We start from the raw sequence: 23,417 nt of genomic DNA on the forward strand, positions 1-23,417 counted from the left end.
CCTTATAAAACCATCAGATCTTGTGAGACTTATTCACTATCATGAGAACAGTGTGGCAGAAACTGCCCCCATGACTCAATTATCTCTCACTGGGTCACTCCCATAACACGTGGGAATTATGGGAGCTACAATTCAAGATGAGATTTCGGTGGAGACACGGCCAAACCATATCAAAACCCCTCTAATGGTAGACTACTGCTACAATGTACTGATTGTAAATCCTAAGGTGCTAGAGTATTTTTCTCCATGTTTTCTCAGATTTAAGAAGCCCTGACTGCTTGAACCACTAAAGGGTCTCGCTATGCTCTTATCTTTCTTATACTGTATACTGCTATTGTTGGTTATTTGGTGGAAGGCTAAAGATGGGAGTGGATGGGGACTCTTAGTTGTCTTGGTCCAGCCTCACTTGGCTAGATCCTGGGTACCTGGGTCTCAGAAGTGTTTTTTTTTTTTTTCAACATTCCTGTGCCCATGTGGTAGCCAAACCCTACTATCTATGAAGCACTTGGGGCAGGAGAGAGTTTCATCCTCCTCCTCCAGTGGTAGCTAACCTCTGTTTTCTGTCAGTACAGAAGGCTGGACCCCAGGGGGTTTCCTGTCCCTTCCCTAGTGTCAGCTAGCTATTGCTCTACTCTTCCCTCAGTAGCATTGTGCTTTTACTGGAGATCACGGACATGTGAATTGCCCTGTTTATCCCCACCCCAACCCCAGTGGTAGGTTGCTAACACTTGTTACTCTGTGCAAGGTTTATCGTGGAAATACGGAGGTTTTTGAGAAATCTCTTCAGAGTTTATCTTTGCCTGGGAATGAGGGAGGAAGGAAGGGTTCTCCACACCCTCCCAGTGATACTGGATTCTATCTATGACCAGAGGCAAGGAATTCTTGCCTGAGCTCTGGAGGCAAGAGGACTTATTTTGGTCCCTCACCCAGGGACCCAAAGCCCTTGGTTCCCATTTCAAGAATGGTCTCTCTTCAAGAAATGTGAGCAGATGGGGCTTTGTGTGTCTGTGGACTACTGAGAGTGGGGTACAAAGAGCGTGTGAGGCAGTGCTGACTTTCTAGTGTTGGGATGAACCAGGAGTCTAAACCATTGCTTTCACCCACCCGTGGCCTTTAAGGATTTGTTAAAATTTGATGTTTTCTTTTTACCCTCCCATAAGGTGGTTGCGTTTTCATGCTGTGCCTTGCCAAAGGTAAAGCCATTCATGCACCTGATCTCTTCTCAGAGTGGCCTGTCATCTGAAATTTAGTGCACTTGTTTGCCTTGCTACCTTAGCTCGCTGCTGAGCTCAAGGCAAATCATGATTTTATTGATTGTCCAGCTTTGTTCCTGTTTATGTGAAAGCCACATTATTTTGTGGCTTTCTACATCTAAGTGCAAGTGAAACTGGATCCTCCTTTAATTAGTGTCTTCCACTTCCAACTTTCTTCTTGAGTCTTCTGTTCCATTAGTAGCTATCAGCTTCTCATTCTTTTTGGAAGAAGATATCATTTGGTCTTTATACAACTGAAAAGAAACAAGCCATTAAGAAACCTTAGCTTTCCTTCTTAAGAGTTGAGTAAATAAATCTTCTAAAAGTCATATTCTCAGTTTAAAATTTTAGTATTTCAATACTGCATTGTTAAATAATTGCTTTTAAAAAGAGGATCATGAGAAAATGGGGAACATGGTTGTAGATTTTGACTGGCATCTGCTTTTAGTAATTTTAGATTCCTTATAGTTGTTTAATTAGACACCTCATATTGTATAGAATATGTTTTTTAAAATGTTACAACTTTTTGTATGACTTAGATGTATTCACTATAAGCATTTGGAGGAGAGTAGTTGAAAGAGCATTTGGAAGAGTCTGGCTTTAGCCACTACATGAAATTTTATTTGATCTTAATAACAAATGACGTTAAAAATGAAATAAGAAGCTTCCCGTTTTCTAATTTTTAGTTCTTTTGGCATGATACAATGGAAAGAAATCCAAGAAGAGTGCATTGAGTGGGATGATGTAATGTGAAATGCCAACAAAACTAATGACTTAATAATGGAAAAAATAGGAGGCTGTTTTATAATTCAAATATTAAGAAAAGTAGCTTATTCATTTTGATAGAAGAAAAATTTTGATGGTTTTTTTCTCTTAATGACTAATGAGTTAGCTTTAGAATTTGTATTTCATCTGGGAGTAAAGTCCTGCTTAACAGATAAAGCAAATAGTTCGCATGAACTTCTGACCAATTTCTAAAGCATTAAATGTTTAGAGATGTAGTATTATACCAACAAGCCAATAAAAAACTCACGAAAATGAATCTTAGGAAGAAAATAATTGGTTTAAATGCCCGTAACAATTTGTGGAGGTCCAAGATACCAAAACACAGAGAGGTAACTGTCTTTGCAAATCAGAGGTTTTATTTATTTTTTTGTTTATTTATTTGTTCTGTATTTCTTTATGAGTCTTACCCACACAACCTCACACATAAACTCACTTCACAGCCATAGTAATACTGTTGCAGAGAGGAATGCAGAGCCTTACACATACACAGTTTGATACTGAAACACAAGAGTAATTATTCAACACCCGCTATGTGACGGGCAGGCTCAGTGTAAGACGCAGTGAATACAAAGATGAGACACAACGTCTACTGGGAAGCATGCTCTTTAAACTTTCTGTGTTTGGGTAAAAGTATACATCCATGAAACCCCCACCAAACCAATGCCATACACTCATCCATCACCTAGGAGGTTTGATTTAAAACCCACTCAAAAGCTCTAGCTTTTCAGTTTTTATCTGTAAGGCCAAATTACATCTGCATAGAATTCAATCTGGGTGATGATTGGCTGTTTAATGTTGAATTTTCAGGCTTTGTTTAGATACAGAATAAACACAGTCTTCACATAGGACCTCATTTTTTAAATTATATGTTTCTTTTACTCCCTAGGTTTTATTGAGTCATCTATTACTCCTACCTACAAATTCTAGGATCTTCCTAGAGGAAGATTCTTTTTGGTTTCTGATTCAGTAACACAGACAGGCCTGGTGAGAACTGCAGGCTCTGCTCCTGACTCCCTGGCTTCTCTGATTTTATTAAGTAGCCAGCTCCTCAGTTTTCTTTTCTTGATCCTTTCTGTCTATTCATTCAACGTTGTGTCTTGCCCCGCTTCTCTTACTCTGTATTTTCTTCCCAGTGGATATCACCGGTTTCTGTTTTCAATGGATTTTTTTTTTCGTAGGGATGAGTCTCGCTCTGTCGCCCAGGCTGGAGTCCAGTGGCGCGATCTCGGCTCACTGCAAGCTCCACCTCCCGGGTTCAAGCAATTCTTCTGCCTCAGCCTCCCAAGTAGCTGGGACTACAGGCACCTGCTGCCACGCCCCACTAATTTCTTTTGTATTTTAGTAGAGACAGGGTTTCACCATGTTGCCCAGGCTGGTTACCAACTCCTGAGCTCAGGCAATCCACCCGCCTTGGCCTCCCAAAGTGCTAGGGTTACAAGCGTGAGCCACCGCGCTGGGCCCAATGGCTATTTGTATATAGACAACTTTCAAAATATTTATTGTCCAGGGCTTTTTTTTTTCTTCTGACCATCAATTTGCCTAATTGAGATTTCCACTTTGATATATTATGCTCAATTCAAAGTTCCTATTCCCCAAATGAGCTCATGATCATCAGCTCAAGATTGCTTCTCCTCCAGTGTTCTTTCTAGCAGTAAATGATTTGCACCACCCACTCAGCAATTCATGCCAGAGACCTAGGAGTGGTCTTTGCTTATACCTCTTCCTTAATCTCCGTGACCGATCATTATCACCACCTCTTAAATAGCCCTGGAATCCACATCTACTTTCCTTTCTCACTGTCACCATTCTAATTTCAGTCAACATTATTGGTCATCTGCTTCTGCAATAGCTTTCTGTTGAATTCCCTGTATCCAATTTTGCCACTCTAAAATCAGTTGTCCTCACTGTGGCCAGAATAATCAGTTTAAAATGAAAACACAATCATATCTCATTTCGTCAGGGTAAGATCCAAACTCCTTATCATAGTCTGTAGGTCCTACAAACCTGGTTCCCTGCCCATGTCTCTGGCCTTTCTTGTTACTTACTCCGTTGCTTTCTGTGTTCCAGCTGTATTAGAGTTTTCAGGTCGCTGAGTTCTCATGTTGTTTTTCAGCCAAGTGCTTTTGAATAGTTCCATCTACCCATCATAAAATGCCTTTCCTTTCTAGTCTTAGAATTCACTTTCTCTGGGGAATCCTTTTTAAGCCACCAGATGAAGTCACATATGTGCCCCCACAGCATCCAGCATTTGTTCAGTGTGCCCCGTTAGACTGAAGCTCTGTGAGGAAAGGGGCTGTGTCTTTTTCAGCACTATATCATAAGCACTAGCAGGGTGCCTGCCATCAATAAATATCTGTGAATGAATAAATAAATACAGATAACCAGTTTGATTTGGATACATAAATATGAATGTTTTGGATTCATAGAAAATTTCTACCTTCATTACCCTGTACATAATCCATTTGAATCACTCACATTCCTATGGTCCCCAGCAGGGCTTAAATTCTTCCCATGTATGCACGTATAAATCAAGTTTGTGTTGTGAATTTCCTAGAAGGAGACAAGCTTCCTGCTTAGGCATGTGACATGTTCTGGGCTCAGAGAGAAGAACAGCAGGATAAGAGAATTTCTAGACCTGTGTGCTCCTCACATTATTGAGTGAATGAGTCCCTAGCTATAGCTACCCTTCTGAATGAGGCTCTGAGACAACATTCATTTTTAGACACAATACCATGATACACTTTCCCTGGCAGGATATTTGCAGTTCTTCCCAGGGATTAGAGACTTTGTCTCAATGTGTCTCAGCTTCAGTAACCCTTGTGATTCCATTCTAATGGGATACATTGAGTATAATGATGCAATTTATTGAGAATATATTGTGGCACAATAATAATAATAATAATAAGACTAATACCTAGGATTTATGGCATAATTATGTTCCAGGAAGTGTTCTAATCACGTTTCACTTATTAACTCATTTAATTCTTAACCAGCCATATAACATAGGTACCATAATTAACCCCATTTTTAGATAAGGAAACTGAGGTTAAATAGCTTGCCTGGGGTCATATGGCTATTATTTGGAGGAGCCTGGATTTTAAAAAAATCTGTTGGGAAACAACTTATTTTCTTGAGAGTTGGCTTGCACTATAGAACAATGAAAGATCTACCAGTCTGTTTCTTATATGTCACCCTTGGCCCACCTCCCCATCCCCGGCTAGGCTAGTCTCTCCTTGTGCTCTGAGTTCCTCATTTCTGTCCTACCCTTCCTCTCAATCACCCACATATTGCAGTTTACAATCTGTGCATTTTAGGGTGAAAGTAGAAAGCTCTGGCCCTAAAGTAGGCAAGGCAGTCTAAGCATGAATCTGTTTTTGAAGGCTTTAGTCTGCTTTGAAGACAAAGATGGATTTGGTGGAGCGGGAGGGGATTGGAGGCTTAGTACTTCCAGGATTGAAGGAAGACGCATCCGTCCAGGAGCATTTTGAGTACTTCCCCGGCTGGAATGGGGAGAGGTTGGGAGTCTTTGAGCGCTTAGTGCCTCTGAGGTGGGGGGAAATGGTGCTTGCATGGCGAGCCCACGGAGAGCTGTGGCCTTTAGAGTGGAGGCAAAGGTCCCCAAGGTCAAACTTGGCCTGGGGGCAGCAGAATTGTCGGAAGAACTACCTTTACCTAAATGGACTTGGTTTGGGCCAGAAGCAGGTCAATGCTGAGCACACAGCTGAGGAACAGGCCCTTCCTTGTGACCCAGGGCCCATAAAAACTCTGGGTTTTTGCATGGTATAAGGTGTATGGAGGAAGAGCTGAAAATTGGCTGTTATATTTGCCTGGAAATCATGATTTTACCACTTTGAAAATTATACTGTAAAAATATGTTAAACACTTTATATTCACATTAAGAGATTCAACGGATAAAACACAATACCTCAGGTAATCTTTTAAAAAATCCATCTGTTATTTAAATTTCCCTTGTGAAAAAAATTATTTTTTAATGTGTTAAACTGAAAGCTGATACACACACACACACACACACACACACACTCAATTATTTAGTTGTATGTGCACATTTACTATGGAGAAATGTGACATTATTTGCATCTTGAGTGCCCTGAATCCAAATACCCTTGTTTCAGTAGACCTTGGCTTTTCCTCATCTTTCAGGTTAGCCCAGATGAGTCTCAGGTTTGATGGAAAAGATGGCTAGCTGTCAATTACTGAATAATCTTATATAATCAGAGGAGACCTTGTGAAATCATCCTGGGAAAACATTCTTTAGAGGATAAGAATTTTGGTAGCAGTTATATGTCTAGACTCTCCAGTTACTACTGAAGGTAACACTATTTTTTCAAAGGCCGTTGTTGCTAAATTTAGTTCAAAATATTTCATGTCAGTAAGGAATAAAGTGAGAAAATACAGCCTGTGAGTTTACCTTTAATACAACAGAGTGTGATATAAACAACTGTGAAGTCTTATTTTTATTTAGCTGTATCCAGCCCACATGTAGTTTCCATCAGCCTGAGAAATGTTCCCAATGTAATTTCCTAGTGTTGAATTATCTTAGATCAATCATAACTGTACCTTTTAGAACATGTCTAAGGCCAGTCAAGCATCCTTTAGTTTAGCACATTAAAAAAAAGACAGTTTTTTTTTTCACAAGGGAAATTTCAATAACAGATGGATTTTTAAAAGATGGCCTGAGGCCTTGTGTTATATCACGTGAATCTCTTAATGTGAGTGTAAAGTCTTTAACATATTTTTGAAGTATAATTTTCAAAGAGGTAAAATCATGATTCCCAAGCAAAAATATAATGAACATGTATCACTGATTTAACTCATTAATTAATGAAGGAGCCAGTTAGATGTTAATATTGGTTCAAAGAACATTTAAGGAGCTCGGGCATTTATGAACAATTTAATAAAAACATATTATGATAAGATTGCTGAGTTAGCTGTAAAACTGTTTAACGTACAGCAGGCTGTAAATCTTTGGGGTTATCTGTTCCATTGAACAGAAATCTACAAGGTAGGGAAAGGGTCCTAGACTAGTCTAGGACCTTTAATCAGCAGTAAACAGTGCATTCCCCTAGACAATTCTTGGGTGCTGATTGGCTCCATAAGATTCTGAAAGTATGTGCCATGCACCATTTTTTTTTTGGCCTTATTTCCAACTTTCAGATAAATTGTCTGACATATTGTTTCCAAAGGAGTATTGACTCAGCTTATTTCTGTGACTCCAGATCCTTTCTGAGACTGGTGGAAATGACCCACTTAGGCATGCTTTCCTTACATGTTCCTGCCCTCCCAGTGGGGGTTAGTGGCTACATATATGTGGGGGGCAAGGATGCTTCCTTGGCTATTGAACAGGGCAAAGTTGATGGTGAACACCTACATTGGCAAAACACCTTCAAAACATTGCAGTGTCCTAAGGAATTTTAGGTTCTCATTTTAATAACAGATGAATGACATAGGCATAGAGTCTACATCTTCTTTTCGAGTGAGCTTCCAAAATTTTAGAGGTGCCAATGAGTTCTTCACCAGAAGGGTTATTAAATGAACTGTTTTATAGCTTAGGAGTCAGGAGCCCAGGAGCTGGATTCAAAGAAATCAGAGTTCCACCATTGGTATACCACTTATTCACTGTGTCATTCTGGCCAGCTTCTTAGCCTCTGAGGGCTTCAGTCTTTTTTTTTTTTTTTTTTTTGAGATTGAGTTTCACTCTTGTCGCCCAGGCTGGAGTGCAGTGGTGCCATCTTGGCTCACTGCAACCTCCACTTCCCAGGTTCAAATGATTATCCTGCCTCAGCCTCCCAAGTAGCTGGGATTACTGGTGCACACCACCACGCCCTGCTAATATTTTATTTTTAGTAGAGACGGGATTTCGCCATGTTGACCAGGCTGGTCTCAAACTCCTGACCTCAGGTGATCCGCCTGCCTTGGCCTCCCAAAGTGTTGGGATTACAGACGTGAGCCACCACGCCTGGCTGGGCTTCAGTCTTTTAATGTGGGCTACTGTGAAAGTTATATCAAAGAACAAATATAAGTGCTCACTATAACTATGCTCACTGGACAACAGTTGTTCAGTAATAAAAAATAAATAAGAAATTGTGACTATTGATGTATTAGAATATTCTTGCATCTTTATAACAAATACGTAAGGCTGTTTATAAAGAAAAGAAGTTTAATTGGCTTATGGTCCTGCAGGCTGTACAGGAAGCACAGTGGCTTCTGGGGAGGCCTCAGGGAGTTTTTACTGTGGTGGAAGGTGAAGGGGGAGCAGGCATGTCACATGGTGAGATAAGGAGCAAGAGAGGGAGAAGGGGAGGTCCTAAACTTTTTTAAGCAACAAGATCTCACGTGAACTCACTAACCGAGAACTCACTTATCACCAAGGGGATGGTGCTAAACTGTTCATGAGGGACCCACCCCCATGACCCGGTTACCTCCTACCACGCCCTACCTACAACTTTGGGAATCATATTTCAACAGGAGATTTGAAGGGAACAAAGTTCCAAATGATATTAACTGGTTCTAGATCCAGACACTGTACTAGGTAACCTAGGTCTTGGGCATTTAAGAGGTGACATGGCCCTACACCTGGAGATAAGTAGTCTCCATTAGGAAGAGAGAGAGATTCCTATCAATAACTATGATACAAAGTGTTTTCGTAGAGGGTCTGTATGTATTTCACAGAGCTGTGGATGTACTGGGGACAAAGCCATTAACTCTGCTTAGCAAGGGAATGGTATTTTGAAGATTGTACCAGGAGATGACTTTCAATACGGGCTTTGAAGGAATGGAAACCGGGGCCTAAATCATGGGTCAGCAAACTGTTTCTATAAAGCATTAGATAGGAGATATTGTAGGTTTTATGGGTCATATGACCTCTGTCTACCCCAAGCATATTGTCAAAATTATAGGAGGTCATAACTCTCCTGTAGCCTGCACTGCTCCAGGCACATATGGAGAATTCTTTTAAAAATTCTGGATGCCACATCCTAAGAGATAAACATGGATAAACATATTATGTGAAGAGCATTATGGCCAGAGAGGTGAAGAATGTGTAAATTATATGCTACAAGGTTGCTGGCCATATAATTTGTGGTCCAAACTAGGATACATTTGAGAGTAAAAGGGGACTGTTAGAAAAATTATCTAAAACTTGAAAATAAGAGAATGGTCATATGTCTTTCATCCTATTGCGGCATTATTTATCAGGACTGCCTAAAGATTATTTGATTTCCTAGAAGGATGTGCCTTTGTTTGACTTTGCTCTTCACTATTTGTTTAGAACTCAGACACTGTGAAATCTATTTTATAGATTTCCATCTAGCAGAAAAGATAACACCAAAGATTATTGTTCATTCCCCTTAGAGGATTAATCAGTTTATATCTAAACTAGCAAACTTAGTCTAGCATTCTTTTCTCTCAAAATACCTATAAAAATCCAGTTCTATTTTCTTATTTGTTCCTCCATTAGATTAAGTTGAATAAAATATTTGGCATGCATTCAGTCTACATGTGTACGAATGTCATATTTTAACTTTTTGAACTTTTCACTGTGACAAGGTGCTACTAATTATTATACTGGGAAAACAAGGATAACCAGGACTATTCCAGGACAACAAGGCTGTATAGTCACCCTAAATATGAGAAATGTTTGAAGGAATTCAGAGTATTTATCCTGAAGAAGGCAGAATGTGGGATGTTTGACAGGGGATTTGAGTGGCAAAATGTTATATTTTTGTGTACTTTGAAGGCCTTCAGGGATAAGGATGCAGCCTGTATGTGGGTACCAGAAGAGACAGGAAGACAGTGGCAACAGTTCATAGTTCTTTGGTGTTGAAGCAGACCAAGAGTGAGGCCCTTGTGCAGTGCTTTGGTGAGTGGGTCTATGGCAGACCTGTCACCCTGTGGTTCAGCTACCTGGGACCTGGAGAAGCTGGGACCTGGAGGACAATGTGGCTGGGGAAACCAACTCTGCCAAAAAGGCTTACAGGGATTAAGCATCTTACCCATAGCTTGACAGGTTGGAATTCAGACCTTGGTTTCTAGGCTTCCAGGCTAGTGTCCATCCCACCACTGCATCCCAGCTGAATCCTCCCATTTCAACTTTGCATAGTTGAGTTTTGTTAAGTATGTTTGTACTGTTAAATATAATTATGGGAGGCCATTGTTTTGGAATGAGCTCCTGCACTAAGGCCCCAACAGACCGGACAAATCAAAGTGGAGTCATTCATGCTAAATGCCACATAGTCAAACTGAAACTTTAAGGAAGGAAATAGATCCCCAAACAGACTCATTTTTTTTCCTTCATAACAGGAGATTCCATTCTACCTGAGTCAACACAATAAGGAAGTCTTTTCTGCTTTAACTCTCACAAAAAAGTAACCTGTTTTAACCTGATGTTAACCAGTCAGACTATTGTTCTGTTTCCTTGTTCCTACTTTATAAAACCTACGCTCTGCTTTTGCTCACAGATAGCTCTCATTCTGTTGTGTAGAATGGAGGCTGCTCTGGTTCATGAGTTGTAAAAAAGCACCAATTAGATCTTTAACTAAATTTGTTGTCATTTTGTTTTTTTTTGACAGTACTGTTATGTATTGTTGTAATTTTGCTTTTTTTTGACAGTACTGTTATGTATGTATGTATTGCATATGTATATATTTCCAAGCATTGAAGGAGTCTAGTTTAAAACAACAGAAATAATCTGAGTTGAGCTTCCCAATGACTAAATTCAATTAATCACATTAAGGTATTATAATGTATACTGCCATTACAAGAAAGATACATTTTTAGCTTTGCCAAAGAAATTGCGCATAATAATATGAAATGTTATTATCATTATATGCCAGAGTATATTCTAGAATATTCATATTTGTATAATGTGTGTACCTATGTATTTGTAGGTATGTATTGATATATTTAATTGCAGAACCTTCAGAGCTGTCAAGTCCTGATTTTAAATGAGTAAGACTTGTCATCACTCAATGGGTTCATCTTGCCTACTGCCCAGAAAAACCAAGGCACTGGGAACAGCAGGTTTTTGCAATAGAGAAAGAGTTTAATAATCACAGGACTGGCCAAGTGTGAAGACAGGAGTTTATTATTACTCAAATCAGCTTCCTGAATATTCAGAGACTAGAGCTTTTTAAGGATAATTTGGTGGACGGGTGTGGCTAGGGAATGGGGAATACTGATTGGTTGGGTCAGGGATGAAATCATAGGGGGTTGTAACTGTCTTTTTGTTGTCTTCATTTCCTGAGTAGGATCACAAAACCAGTTAGGTGAGTTTAGCTGGTCTATCAGAATTCAGGGGCTGAAAAATACCTCAATCACCAACCTTAGGTTTTACCATAGGGATGTTATCTATAGGACCTACTGGGGAGGTTAGGAATCTTGTAGCCTTTGGCTGCATGACTCCTGAGCCATAATTCTACACTGTGGCTCATCTGTTAGTTTTCCAAAGGCAGTTTTTGTCCCTAAGCAAGGAGATAGTTTCAGGAAGTGGCTGTTATCATCTTTGTTTTAAAGTTAAACTAAACTCCTTTCATAGTTAACTTGGCCTATGCACAGAAATGAACAGGGATAGCTTGGAGGTTAGAAGTAAGATGGATTCAGTTAGGGCAGATTTCTTTCACCATCATAATTTTTTATGTTGTATTTCTCTCCCTGCCACAATTTTTGCAAAGGTGATTTCAGACTGAAAAAAGTCTTTTAGCTGCAGGTGTGACGTATTGGTCTAAACCACTTAAACATGTCTAGAGAGATATATCAGTCCTTCTTGTAACAGCCTTCAGTTTGACTTTAAGAGAAAACAATTAAAAATGGCTCAGTAAACTCCGAGAGGACTCCATTTTAAGGATGATTGCACCACTAAAATAAGAAACCATTACCTGTGAAATAATCTAATTGAATTCCTGATGGCATTGGTCAGCTTTATTGTTTTTCAAAAGAAAGCCACATTTAAGATAGATTCGTGCTTCAAAACGGTTATTAGGCTTCCAAATATTTTTGCTTTTTTGTACAGTGTATTTGAAATGTTTAGAAAGCTAATAAAATATTATTAAAGAGACTAATAACAAAATACATTAAAATCTTGAAAAGAATAGATTAGTATAGTCTGAATTCACTTGCTCTATTATCAACCCTTAAACCTTTTTAATATATTCAATACTATCCTGTTTTTTAAAATGTTCACCTCAATTGCCTAGTGCTTCAGGTTATATCCTTGGTTATTATGGGATATGAAAGACATACATTGCTTAAAGTATCAGTTTTCAAACTTTTTTAAAACTGTACACCACTGTTACAACCTTCCAGTGGAAAATGGACGCATCAATAATAGAAAACTGGCAAAGAACAAAATAATGAAAGTGGCATAAAAAGTCATGGACCATGGATTTTTAAAAGTGTTTGTTCTTTGTTAGAGTTTGTGGTATAAAACTGAAAGTATCTGGAATTGTAGATGAATCTTCTTTAAAGATAAAGAACTTGCATTTTTCAATCAGTTTGCAGTCTGTAAGGAAGACCCTCACCTACTATGGGCTGACTGAATACCACGCTTTTTGAATCTTTAATTTAAAACAGCAGAAATAATCCGAGTGTCAGATTGTTTAATACCAAAGAGAAGTGACTGAAGTGAGATAGGAAGACAGTCTGCCATCCCAGAGGAACCGCGGCCACTTTGGGGACACTGATAGAAAGCCAAGGATAAGAGACAACACATGGAAATGATGTTAAAGATTTGGCTTTTACATATTGATGGGCTTGAATGATTTTCTTTCTGTCCTGTGATGGCTTATCTTTGTGTGGGTATTTGGTGGTTGTGGTGGGGTGGGGGAACAGGCACTGAGACAAGGAAGATAGAGGAGATGATCAAAGGATAAGGAATCTCCAGGGAGACCACCAGACCACTCAATAATAATCATTTGTCCTCTCTTTTTAAATAGGTATTTGTGCCTTCCGTTTTTTGTTGTTATCTTATTTCAGAGGTAAGTAACTGTAGAGTGAGCAATTTTTTCTAATCTCTGATAAGAAAATGCTTTTGAAGTTAAACTATTAAGTGAAAAAATACTGCTTTTGGTTTAAGGTAAATACTCCTTATCAAATGAAAGAATTACTGTTTATGCAGTCATTTGATAACTATTTCTTGAATCTTTCCAACCTTATAGCATTCTTCTAGGTGCTTGAAATATCCTTCCTGGTCTAGTTTACTAAGAGGTTTTAAATTTAAAAAAATGAAGACTGAATGCTAAGATTTATCAAGTGCTTTTTGTGTACCTATTTAGAAGCACTTAAAGATTTTCTTTTTAAAGTTCCAGTATGTACTGAATTATGTTAATATATCTTCTCATATTAAATCACTCTTACATTCTTGAAATAAAACTGATTTGGCCATTTTTAAAAAGCATTGTCCTGGATTTGACTTGGTATATTTTTATTTGGACTTCATAAATATTTTGAATTATTAACTCATAATTATGCTAACTTTTTTTAAAATTATTGAATACATATTTATAGGAGAGACTGACATAAGCATACTTTTTTCATACTATTTTGTCAGATTTTGTATCAGGAATTCACTACTTTTGTGTGATTCATTGAGGAGTTTTTCACTTTTTGCATGATCTGGAATAACTTAGATGGCAAGAGCATTAACTACTCTGAAAGAGTAGAGAGCTTATTCTATAAAATGGACTCAATTGATGTTATTTGTGGAGATAATTTTAGGACATCTTTTTAACTTTTCTGTATTGTTATTGATATATCTTCTTGAGGCAATTTTGATAACTTCTGTTTTCCTAGAAAATTCTTCAATTCAGGGAAAATTTTCAAATTTACCCTCCGCATCTGACTGAGAGACAGGCAAGAGAGAACAACGTTAGAGTCATAGAGTAGGTCAGGCCTAGACATGGAGTGTATTTCTTTTACCAGTTGTTTTAAATATTCTATTAGATTTTCTTTTGAGTTTAATACTCAATGCATCAATCATCGTTACTGCTGATATTATGGAATATTTACTTATATTAAGATCATAATGTGTCCGGAATTGGTGGGTTCTTGGTCTCACTGACTTCAAGAATGAAGCCGTGGACCCTCGCGGTGAGTGTTACAGCTCTTAAGTTGGTGCGTCTGGAGTCTGTCCCTTCTGATGTTCGGATGTGTTCGGAGTTTCTTCCTTCTGGTGGGTTCGTGGTCTCGCTGGCTCAGGAGTGAAGCTGCAGACCTTCGCGGTGAGTGTTACAGCTCTTAAGGCAGCGCGTCTGGAGTTGTTCTTTCCTCCTGGTGGGCTCGTGGTCTCGCTGGGCTCAGGAGTGAAGCTGCAGATCTTCGCTGTGAGTGTTACAGCTCATAAAAGCAGCGTGGACCCAAAGAGTGAGCAGTAGCAAGATTTATTGCAAAGAGTGAAAGAACAAACCTTCCACAGTGTGGAAGGGGACCTGAGCGGGTTGCCAATGCTGGCTGGGGCAGCCTGCTTTTATTCTCTTATCTGGCCCCACCCGCATCCTGCTGATTGGTAGAGCCCAGTGGCCTGTTTTGTCAGGGCGCTGATTGGTGTGTTTACAATCCCTGAGCTAGATACAAAGGTTCTCCACCTTCCCATCAGATTAGTTAGATACAGCGTTTCCACACACAGGTTCTCCAAGGCCCCACCAGAGCAGCTAGATACAGAGTGTCGATTGGTGCACTCACAAACCTTGAGCTAAACACAGGGTGCTGATTGGTGTATTTACAATCTCTGAGCTAGATATAAAGACTCTCCACGTCCCCACCAGACTCAGGAGCCCAGCTGCCTTCACCTAGTGGATCCTGCACCGGGGCTGCAGGTGGAGCTGCCTGCCAGTCCTGTGCCGTGCGCTCACATTCCTCAGCCCTTGGGTGGTCGATAGGACTGGGCGCCTTGGAGCAGGGGGTGGTGCTCGTCGGGGAGGCTCGGGCCGCACAGGAGCCCATGGAGTGGGTGGGAGGCTCAGGCATGGCGGGCTGCAGGTCCCCCGCCCTGCCCCGCAGGAAGGCAGCTAAGGCCCAGCGAGAAATCGAGCACAGCACCGCTGTGCCAGCACTGCTGGGGGACTCAGTACACCCTCCGCAGCCACTGGCCAGGGTGCTAAGTCCCTCATTGCCCGGGGCCAGCAGCGCTGGCTGGCTGCTCCAAGTGCGGGCCCACCAAGCCCACGCCCACCCGGAACTCCAGCTGGCCCGCAAGTGCCGTGCGCGGCCCCCGTTCCCGCTGGTGCCTCTCCCTCTACACCTCCCTGCAAGCTGAGGGAGTGGGCTCCAGCCTTGGCCAGCCCAGAAAGGGGCTCCCACAGTGCAGTGGGGGGCTGAAGGGCTCTTCAAATACCACCAAAGTGGGAGCCCAGGCAGGGGAGGTGCCGAGAGCAAGCGAGGGCTCTGAGGGCTGCCAGCATGCTGTCACCTCTCAATAATATACATATTGTTCTGCAATTTGGTCCTTTTTTTTTTTTTTTTTTTTTTTTTCCTCACTTTGTTGCCCAGGCTGGAGTGCAGTGGCGTGATCTCGGCTCACTGCAAGCTCCGCCTCCCAGGTTCACGCCATTCTCCTGCCTCAGCCTCCCGAGTAGCTGGGACTACAGGCGCCTGCCACCACACCCGGCTAATTTTTTGTATTTTTATTAGAGATGGGGTTTCACCATGTTAGCCAGGATGGTCTCGATCTCCTGACCTCGTGATCCGCCCACCTCGGCCTCCCAAAGTGCTGGGATTACAGGCATGAGCCACTGTGCCCGACCTGCAATTTGTGTTTTTCCCACTACTTTGTATGTCAGGGACATCTTTCTTTGTTAGCTTATGGAGAGCAAGTTTTTTTAAACTTGGAGCTATTGACATTGGACCCAACAATCTTTGTTGTGGGGGCTGTCCTGTATTGTAGGGTGTTTATCAGCATTCCTTGCCTCTACTCACTAGATGCCAGTAGCACATTCTCTCCTCAGTTGTGACACCCCAAAGCATCTCCAGTTATTGCTCTATGGCTCCAGGAAGGAGGGGCAAAATTGCCCCCAGTTGAAAACCACTGATGTAGAACTACATCATTCTTTTAAAAACAGCTGCACAGAACTTTATAAATATACTATAGTTATTGAATGAATGAATCACCTACTGATGAATCTTCAGGTTTTTTGTCTATTATTTTTATTTATAGAATTTGTTTTTACATAATTTTAATTTTTATGTGGTCAAATTCACGTCATTGCTTAATTATTTCTCTGCCACACTCATAACCTGAGAGGATTAAAATATTTGGTCATTTTATCCTAGACTTTTATGTTTTTATTCTTTACATTTAAATCTCTAATCCCTACGGAATTTATGCTACAAATGGCTATGTAAAATCAGCTTAGCTTTTTCTCAAGTGGTTATCCCATGGTCCCATAGTTTTATGTAAGTTTGTCCTTTCCATTCAAAATGTTACCTTATCGTGTACTAAATTCCCACATACGCTCTCTTTTCCATTTGTTTATTCACCCATTTCTGACAAATACCATACTGTTTTAATTATAAAATCTTTATGTTACATTTTTATATTTGGCAGGAAAGTTATCGTTTGGTCTTTTCCAAAATTGATAAGGGTATGCTTGCACATTACTCTTCTAAGAATTTTAGTATCCATTTTTTGTGTTCCATGAAAAATTTTGGGTTTTTTTCTGATTTTACTGGTCTTATTATATTACTGAAGAGAAAATTAAAAGGTTGCAATATTAAATCTTCCTTTTGTTAACATAATTTATCTCTGTTTATTTAGTTCCTCTTTTAAGCCCTCTTGTAAAATTCTTCTTTGGTAGTTTTTTTTGTTTGTTTGTGGTTTTTTTTTTTTTTTTTTGAGATGGAGTCTCTGTCCCCAGGCTGGAGGGCAGTGGCATGATCTCGGCTCACTGCAGCCTCTGCCTCCTGAGTTCTAGCAATTCTTCTGCCTCAGCCTCCTGAGTAGACGGGATTACAAGCATGTGCCACCATGCCTGGCTAATTTTTGTATTTTCAGTAGAGGTGAAGTTTCACCATGTTGGCCAGGCTGGTCTTGAACTCCTGACATCAAGTGATCCTCCCGCCTCAGCCTCCCAAAGTGTTGGGATTACAGGCATGAGCCACACTGTGTCTGGCCTCTTCAGTAGTTTTGTTCAGTTGGTTGTATCTTTCCCAGGTTAAAATTCTTCAAATGACTGTTTATTCTTAGTTTTACATTTATTTTTGTGAAGGAAAGATTTGCTGATTACAATAGGGAACCAATGCGGGTATGTTCACCCCAAATACCTATCCTTTGTATGGACTCTGTGGTAGTGGATTTAGGGTAGTGGGTAGGTCCCGTTTCATAGGTAGACCTCCCTTTGGTGTGTGTGGAAAGTTCCCTATGATTGCTAAGTGAGGATGACTTTACAGGCAGGGCGTCGGACAGATGTGTACTTGAGTGTGTTTCACTCCTGGGAAGAGTGGGGTCAGGCTGTCATGCTTATAAAAAACACCCAATCAGGCATATCTTTCCCTTTGTTTAGATTGAGGATAGAGTTTTCAGAGTTCAGGCTGAGGGCAAGTGCTGTAGCCAACTTTTCTGGCAAAGGATGTACTACCATGACAAGAGAATATTTACTATTAAGTGGTTGCTCATAAGGTTTTTCAAAGGAAGGAAAATGGGGCAGAGTAGACCCATCTCTCCCCCAGTTCTACCATTATACACAGAGCAAAGTCTATATTTATGAAGTACTTTTCTGAAAGGTTAGAGATTCCCAAAAGGGTATTGCATGGTAGGAGGGACAATGGTTGAAAGTTAATGAGTTTAGATGTTCCTTTTATTGCACAAGGGAGAATGTTTTCAGGCATTGGGCTTTCATATGCTTCGTGTTCCCTTGCATGTTTCCTTCATGATGACTAGCTTCTCTTGCAAGTGTCCCCACCTCCCTGAAACACACTTATTTCTCAGCTTAGCAACTTCTCTATCCCTCAGGAAACTCTATCCTTTTCCAAAGAAGCTTTTATGTTGTAAAACAAAAATCACATTCTAAGCCCCCTGATAAACTGAATGGACCCCTTCTCTCAGCCAAGGGCATTCCAAAGTTAACCTGAAAAAAACTAGGTCAGGCCATTATGGGAATGCATGGTTGGATATGTCTTATTATACCTTCCTCACTTTGGAATTCAGGCACCGCTGACCAGCATTAGCATTAAAACAGAGACCTTAAGACTGACAAAACAGACTATTTGTAGCAATAAGATACCAGCATGACATATAGCAGGCCCTGAAAGAAATAAAAGTATTTTACCCCAAAATACATTTCTTTGACATATTTTGAAATGGTCCTGCAAAGCTGTCTCTTGTGGGGAAAAATCTACATTGTGTAGAGAATCCCTTTCCCTTTCTAGGTCTTTTCCCTGATCCAGGAGAGAACTGACTAAGAGCTTGGCACCTTTTTAAGTCTGATAAGGAACATTTACAATCTATTCTCTCTGAAGCCTGCTACCTGGAGGCTTCATCTGCATGATAAGAACCTTGGTCTCTAGAACCTCTTATCTTAACCCACACTGCCTTCTCTTGATTCTAGGTCTTTAGATATTAGCTTAACTCTTCAGCCAATTGCTAATCAGAAAATCTTTGAATTCACCTATGACCAGGAAGCTCCTGCTTCTCAAGTTGTCCTGCCTTTCCAGACCAAACCAATGTATGCCTTACATCTATTGATTGATGTCTTATGTCTTCCTAAAACATATAAAACCAGGCTGACCACTTTGGGCACATATTCTTTGGACCTCTTGAGACTGTGCCTCAGGTCACGGTCACTCATATTTGGCTTAGAATAAATCTCTTCAAATATTTTACAGAGTTTGACTCTTTGTTGACAATGCCTTGATGTTTTCTGGCATTGTGTTTAAAAGAAGGAACATAGGATGAGCATGATTGTTCATCTCTGAAGAGTTGTGCAGAATCCAGAGGGTTATAGGCTCTTGTTCCAGGAGGGAGAGTGATCATGCTCTCCAATTGTACACAATTCTATGTCATCTCTTCTGTTAGTGAGTGAATGAGTCAGAGTCCACTTAGAAAAACAGCATGACACCAAATAGCCTAACAGAAAAAAAGAAATATGGGGAATTGGTATTGGAGGATTGAAAAGCAACCAGGGATAACTGAGCTAGCACAGTGATAGGAAGTGCTATGAACAGCTGCCACGCCAGGGCCAGGGATGAAAAGGAAGAGAGGGTGGGGTTAATAGAACCCTTAAGGTTGGTGTTTGGGGCCCTGCAGAACTGCTGCCTGGTTGGTGGTCATGTCTCTGAGGAAGTGCATCTCTGGGAGTGTGGAAACAAAGCTGAAGCTATAGTGGTGCTACAGCTAAACCCAGCTGCCACTGTTGTTTCACAAAACCATTGCTGGGGCCATGCTGATAGGAGCAATGAACACACAGGAAGAAGAAAGTCCTTTGTCCCTGCTCCAGCGTCACAGTCTCCCTCTAGTGAACCCTATTGGCAGAACCTAACAGGGAACCACTGGCAAAGGAGAAATGTTTGCAGAGTCTAAACCTCTGTATCACCAAGCTGAGTAAGGAAGAGAGCGTTTGGAGGTAAGAGATAACAGTGAATATTCTGCACAGTGAAAGTCAGTGAGGTTCAGAAGGGAAGTGGGCATTTGTGCAAAGATGAATATTTGTACTCATCAGAGACACACAAGCTAATCCCACCTCATGGAAATACTATTTTGGTGTAAGGATGGACAAATAAACCAATGGAGCAGATAAAGTCCACAAATAGATGTGCACATATATGGTTTCTTGATTTGCAATAAAGGTGCCATTGTCATTCAGTGGAAAAAGATCATTATTAAATAAATGGTGCTGGAGAAATTGGTATCTATTCAGGGAAAAAAGAAATGAATCTTGAACTTGACCTTATACCACACATAAAAATTAATTCAAAGTGGATCATAGACCTGAATGTGAAAGGCAGAACAATAAAGCTTCTAGAATGTAACAAAGGAAAATGATCATGGAGTAGGCAAGATTTCTTAAACAAGACACAAAAAACATTAAGCCATAAAAGAAAAAGGAAAAAGATAAATTGGGCTTTCTTAAAATTAAGAACTTCTGTTCATCAAAAGACATAGTTAAGGAAGCGAGTTCAGTGAGCAAGCCACAGATTGGGGGAACATATTTGTAATACATATACTTGACAAAGGAGTCATATCCAGTATATATAGTTACGTAAAAATTAAACACCTATAAATCATATAACCCAAATTAAACCCACAATGAGGGAAAAGTATAAACAGAGTAGATTGGCTAAAATGAAAAGATTCAACATGAAGTGTAGGTGAGATTGTAGAGCAGCTGGAGCTCACATACATTGCAGATAGAAGTATAAACACTTTCCAGACAAAGTGGTTCAGCCACTTAGAAAAACTGTTTACTGGTATTTATTAAATCTAAATGAACTTCTGTCTTCTTCTATCTTATGACCCAGCAGTTCTCAGTTCTACTTTTAGGTGTATATCCAAGAGAAATGAGTTCATATATCAACCAAAAGGCACATGAAAGACCGTTCTTTGCAGCTTTAGTCATAATAGCCAAAAACTAGAAATGCTACAAATATCCAACAACAGAGGACTACAAAAGCAAATTGTAGTGTATTCATAAAATGGAACACTACTCAGCAATAAAAAAAGAAAGAACTGATATTTACAATAGTATGGATAAATCTCAAAAGCATTCTGTTGGAAAAGAGAAACCAGACACAAAAGTGTATATACTATGTGATTCCACATACATAAAGTGAAAGACAGGCAAATATCGTCAAAGATGATAAAAGTCAGAGTAGTGATTATCATTGAGGTGAGTGAGTGAGGAGGCATGAGGGAACTTTCTGGAGTGATGAAAATGTTCTGTATCTTGGTCTGTGTGGTAGTTACATAGGTTACATACAGAAGTAAAAATTTAGCTGTGCAGTTAAGAATATATAGTTTATAGCAAACAAGTTTTATCTTTAAAAACAAACTACAGGCCAGGCATGGTGGCTCACGCTTGTAATCCCAGCACTTTGGGAGGCCAAGGCGGGCGGTTCAGGACGTCAAGAGATCGAGATCATCCTGGCCAACATGGTGAAACCCCATCTCTGCTAAAAATACAAAAATTAGCTGCGCGTGGTGGTACATGCCTGTAGTCCCAGCTACTCAGGAGGCTGAGGCAGGGGAATCGCTTGAATCCGGGAGGCAGAGGTTGCAGTGAGCCAAGATCTCGCCACTGCACTCCAGCCTGGGCGACAGGGTGAGACTCCATCTCAAAAAAACAAAAACAAACAAACAAAACCTACAAAAGAAAAAAGTATTTCTTTTGTTATCATGTTCCTGGCCTAGCCCTTAGGAACAATAGATAATCATAATTGTGTGAAGGAGTATCTGACTCTTTTCTGTTTTGCTGAAGACTGAGCATCACTGAAAACAAAACTAAACTAAAGAAAGCAAAACAAAACAGAAATCATGGTATTAGGTTGACCTTTTTGTGTCCTGTGAGGAGTAGTATCAATTTCAAATTGATTTCTTTTAATTTTATGGCTCTTTCTAAGAGGGGGCAGGGGATGGGAAATTTATTCATTACACTTTTCCATATATAGAAAGATGAAAAGGACCTTATCTACAAAGATCTGATAGCACGTGGAGGATGGAGGTCCCAGAGCACTTTAGAAACATAGCAGGGAATCAGTGAAGCAGTACATAGAGAAGAACTAGAGGATATGGGTATGCAGTCAGGTAACCTGTACACAGAGAGCACTTGAAAAGTATTAGCTACTCTAATTCAGATCTTAGGTTTTTGATAATGCCAATAGCATCACTGAACAACTGGTGAAGAATTATCTGGCTTTATTTTAATCTTTGGACAAGTGCATTCCTGTGTGTGTGCACCTGTGTGTGTATACATTACAAGAAGAAGAGAATTATCTTTATATTAACCTAGTGATCCTTTTCTATCCCTTCTGCTGGATTTTTTGGTGATAGATAATAGCCTGCTTGCATCCCTAAACCTTGTCAGCAAGGGGACCAGAGGAGAATCAAATCCTTTTTTGAAGTCATAGGCATTTTGCAAGAGAAAGTCTCGTGCTCTAAGAAAAAGATGATTCTAACTAAAATATAATTAAAGAAGCAAGAGAATTAGAATGGCCATTATTTGGAAGTTGGGGGAAAGACCAAAGAGAGCAAATGAAGACTAATGGTATAATGCTATTCCAAAGCTGAGTTTCTAACATTGCCTGAATAATACATAAACCTGTAATTAAGATTTAAAATGATGCTTGTGGGAAATGTTCTTTTGGGCCAGAAGAATTTAATATTTCTTGTGGTCATTGAAAGCAAGATGAGCAATCATTTTTTCACCCTCTGTTGGAAGTAGGAGAGCAGTAACTTAAACCACAAAGAAAGTGCTAAGGTATTTAGGAGGAGGAGCTAAAGCTGTGGGGGTGGTGTTAGAATGATAGAAATTCCAGACTGATAAGAGTCTTGGTTAGTCCCATAGGCTGAAATACATGGCAAAACCCAAAAAACTGTGACTCTTTGGTGCGTGTGGAATAGAGGGTGGGAGAGAATTGAATTGGAGTATTGAACTTTTAAGATTTTTTTTTTTAATGAAAAGTTGATCTAAACCGTTTTTGGCCTACCAATCTACATTTCTTGAGCATAGATTTTAGGTTTGAGATTTTCGCCTTGAAAGGTGAGACTATTCAAGCTCTCTGGACTGAATTCTGTGAAATAATTTTGTGTGTGGACCCTGGGTGGATCCCAATTCACCATTGTCAGGAGGGTACAGGGTGAGTTGAAGAGTGATGGAGATTGGAGTTGTAAAAATCAACCAATCACCCACCTATTTTAATATACAAGGAACCAGAATAAATCATTCAAAGTTGCAGAGGTAATTAGTGGTAGAGTTAGAGCTTGAATTCAGGTTTCCTGATTCTGCACTTAGGGTCCTGTCTGTTCCACACAATGTAGCACAGAGATGATTTCCACCAGAGACGCTGTTCCGTGTAGGAATCATCATCTCTATCGTCAAAAAGTATTCGGTGGTACCTTATTGGCTTCTAATAAATAGTGATGCTGTGCATAAATGGAGAGAATTATAGAAACTTTTTTTGTTTTTTTTTTTAAGCTACAGGTTTAGAGCATAAAATTGTATTGATTTCACTAAGCTGCAATATAGTTCTATATATTGTCAGTAAGAAAGAACATTGAGAAATTTTCTCCTTCAGTTTTGTCTGAAAATGTCTTTATATTACCCTATTCTTTAATGATAGTTTGGCCACATTTAAAATTTTCTAATGGCAGTTCTTTTCCCTTAGCACTTCAAAGATGTTATTGAGTTATTTTCTTCTGCTGTTAGTATTGTCTGCTAT

At 39.9% G+C, this 23,417-nt stretch overlaps 1 long non-coding RNA gene across 1 annotated transcript in view; it reads right to left on the minus strand.

Annotated features, from left to right (window-relative positions):
* Window positions 1–1,255: 1,255 nt before the first annotated feature.
* LOC105379127 (uncharacterized) overlaps window positions 1,256–23,417 on the minus strand; it is a 37,837-nt gene continuing 15,675 nt past the window's right edge. Inside the window, exon 5 of the long non-coding RNA XR_948680.3 lies at window positions 1,256–1,507. This is a non-coding gene — a long non-coding RNA (uncharacterized LOC105379127). The remainder of the gene's footprint in view (window positions 1,508–23,417) is intronic.

This window comes from Homo sapiens, chromosome 5 (genome assembly GCF_000001405.40).
Source record: "Homo sapiens chromosome 5, GRCh38.p14 Primary Assembly".
Classification (NCBI taxonomy): Eukaryota; Metazoa; Chordata; class Mammalia; order Primates; family Hominidae; genus Homo; species Homo sapiens.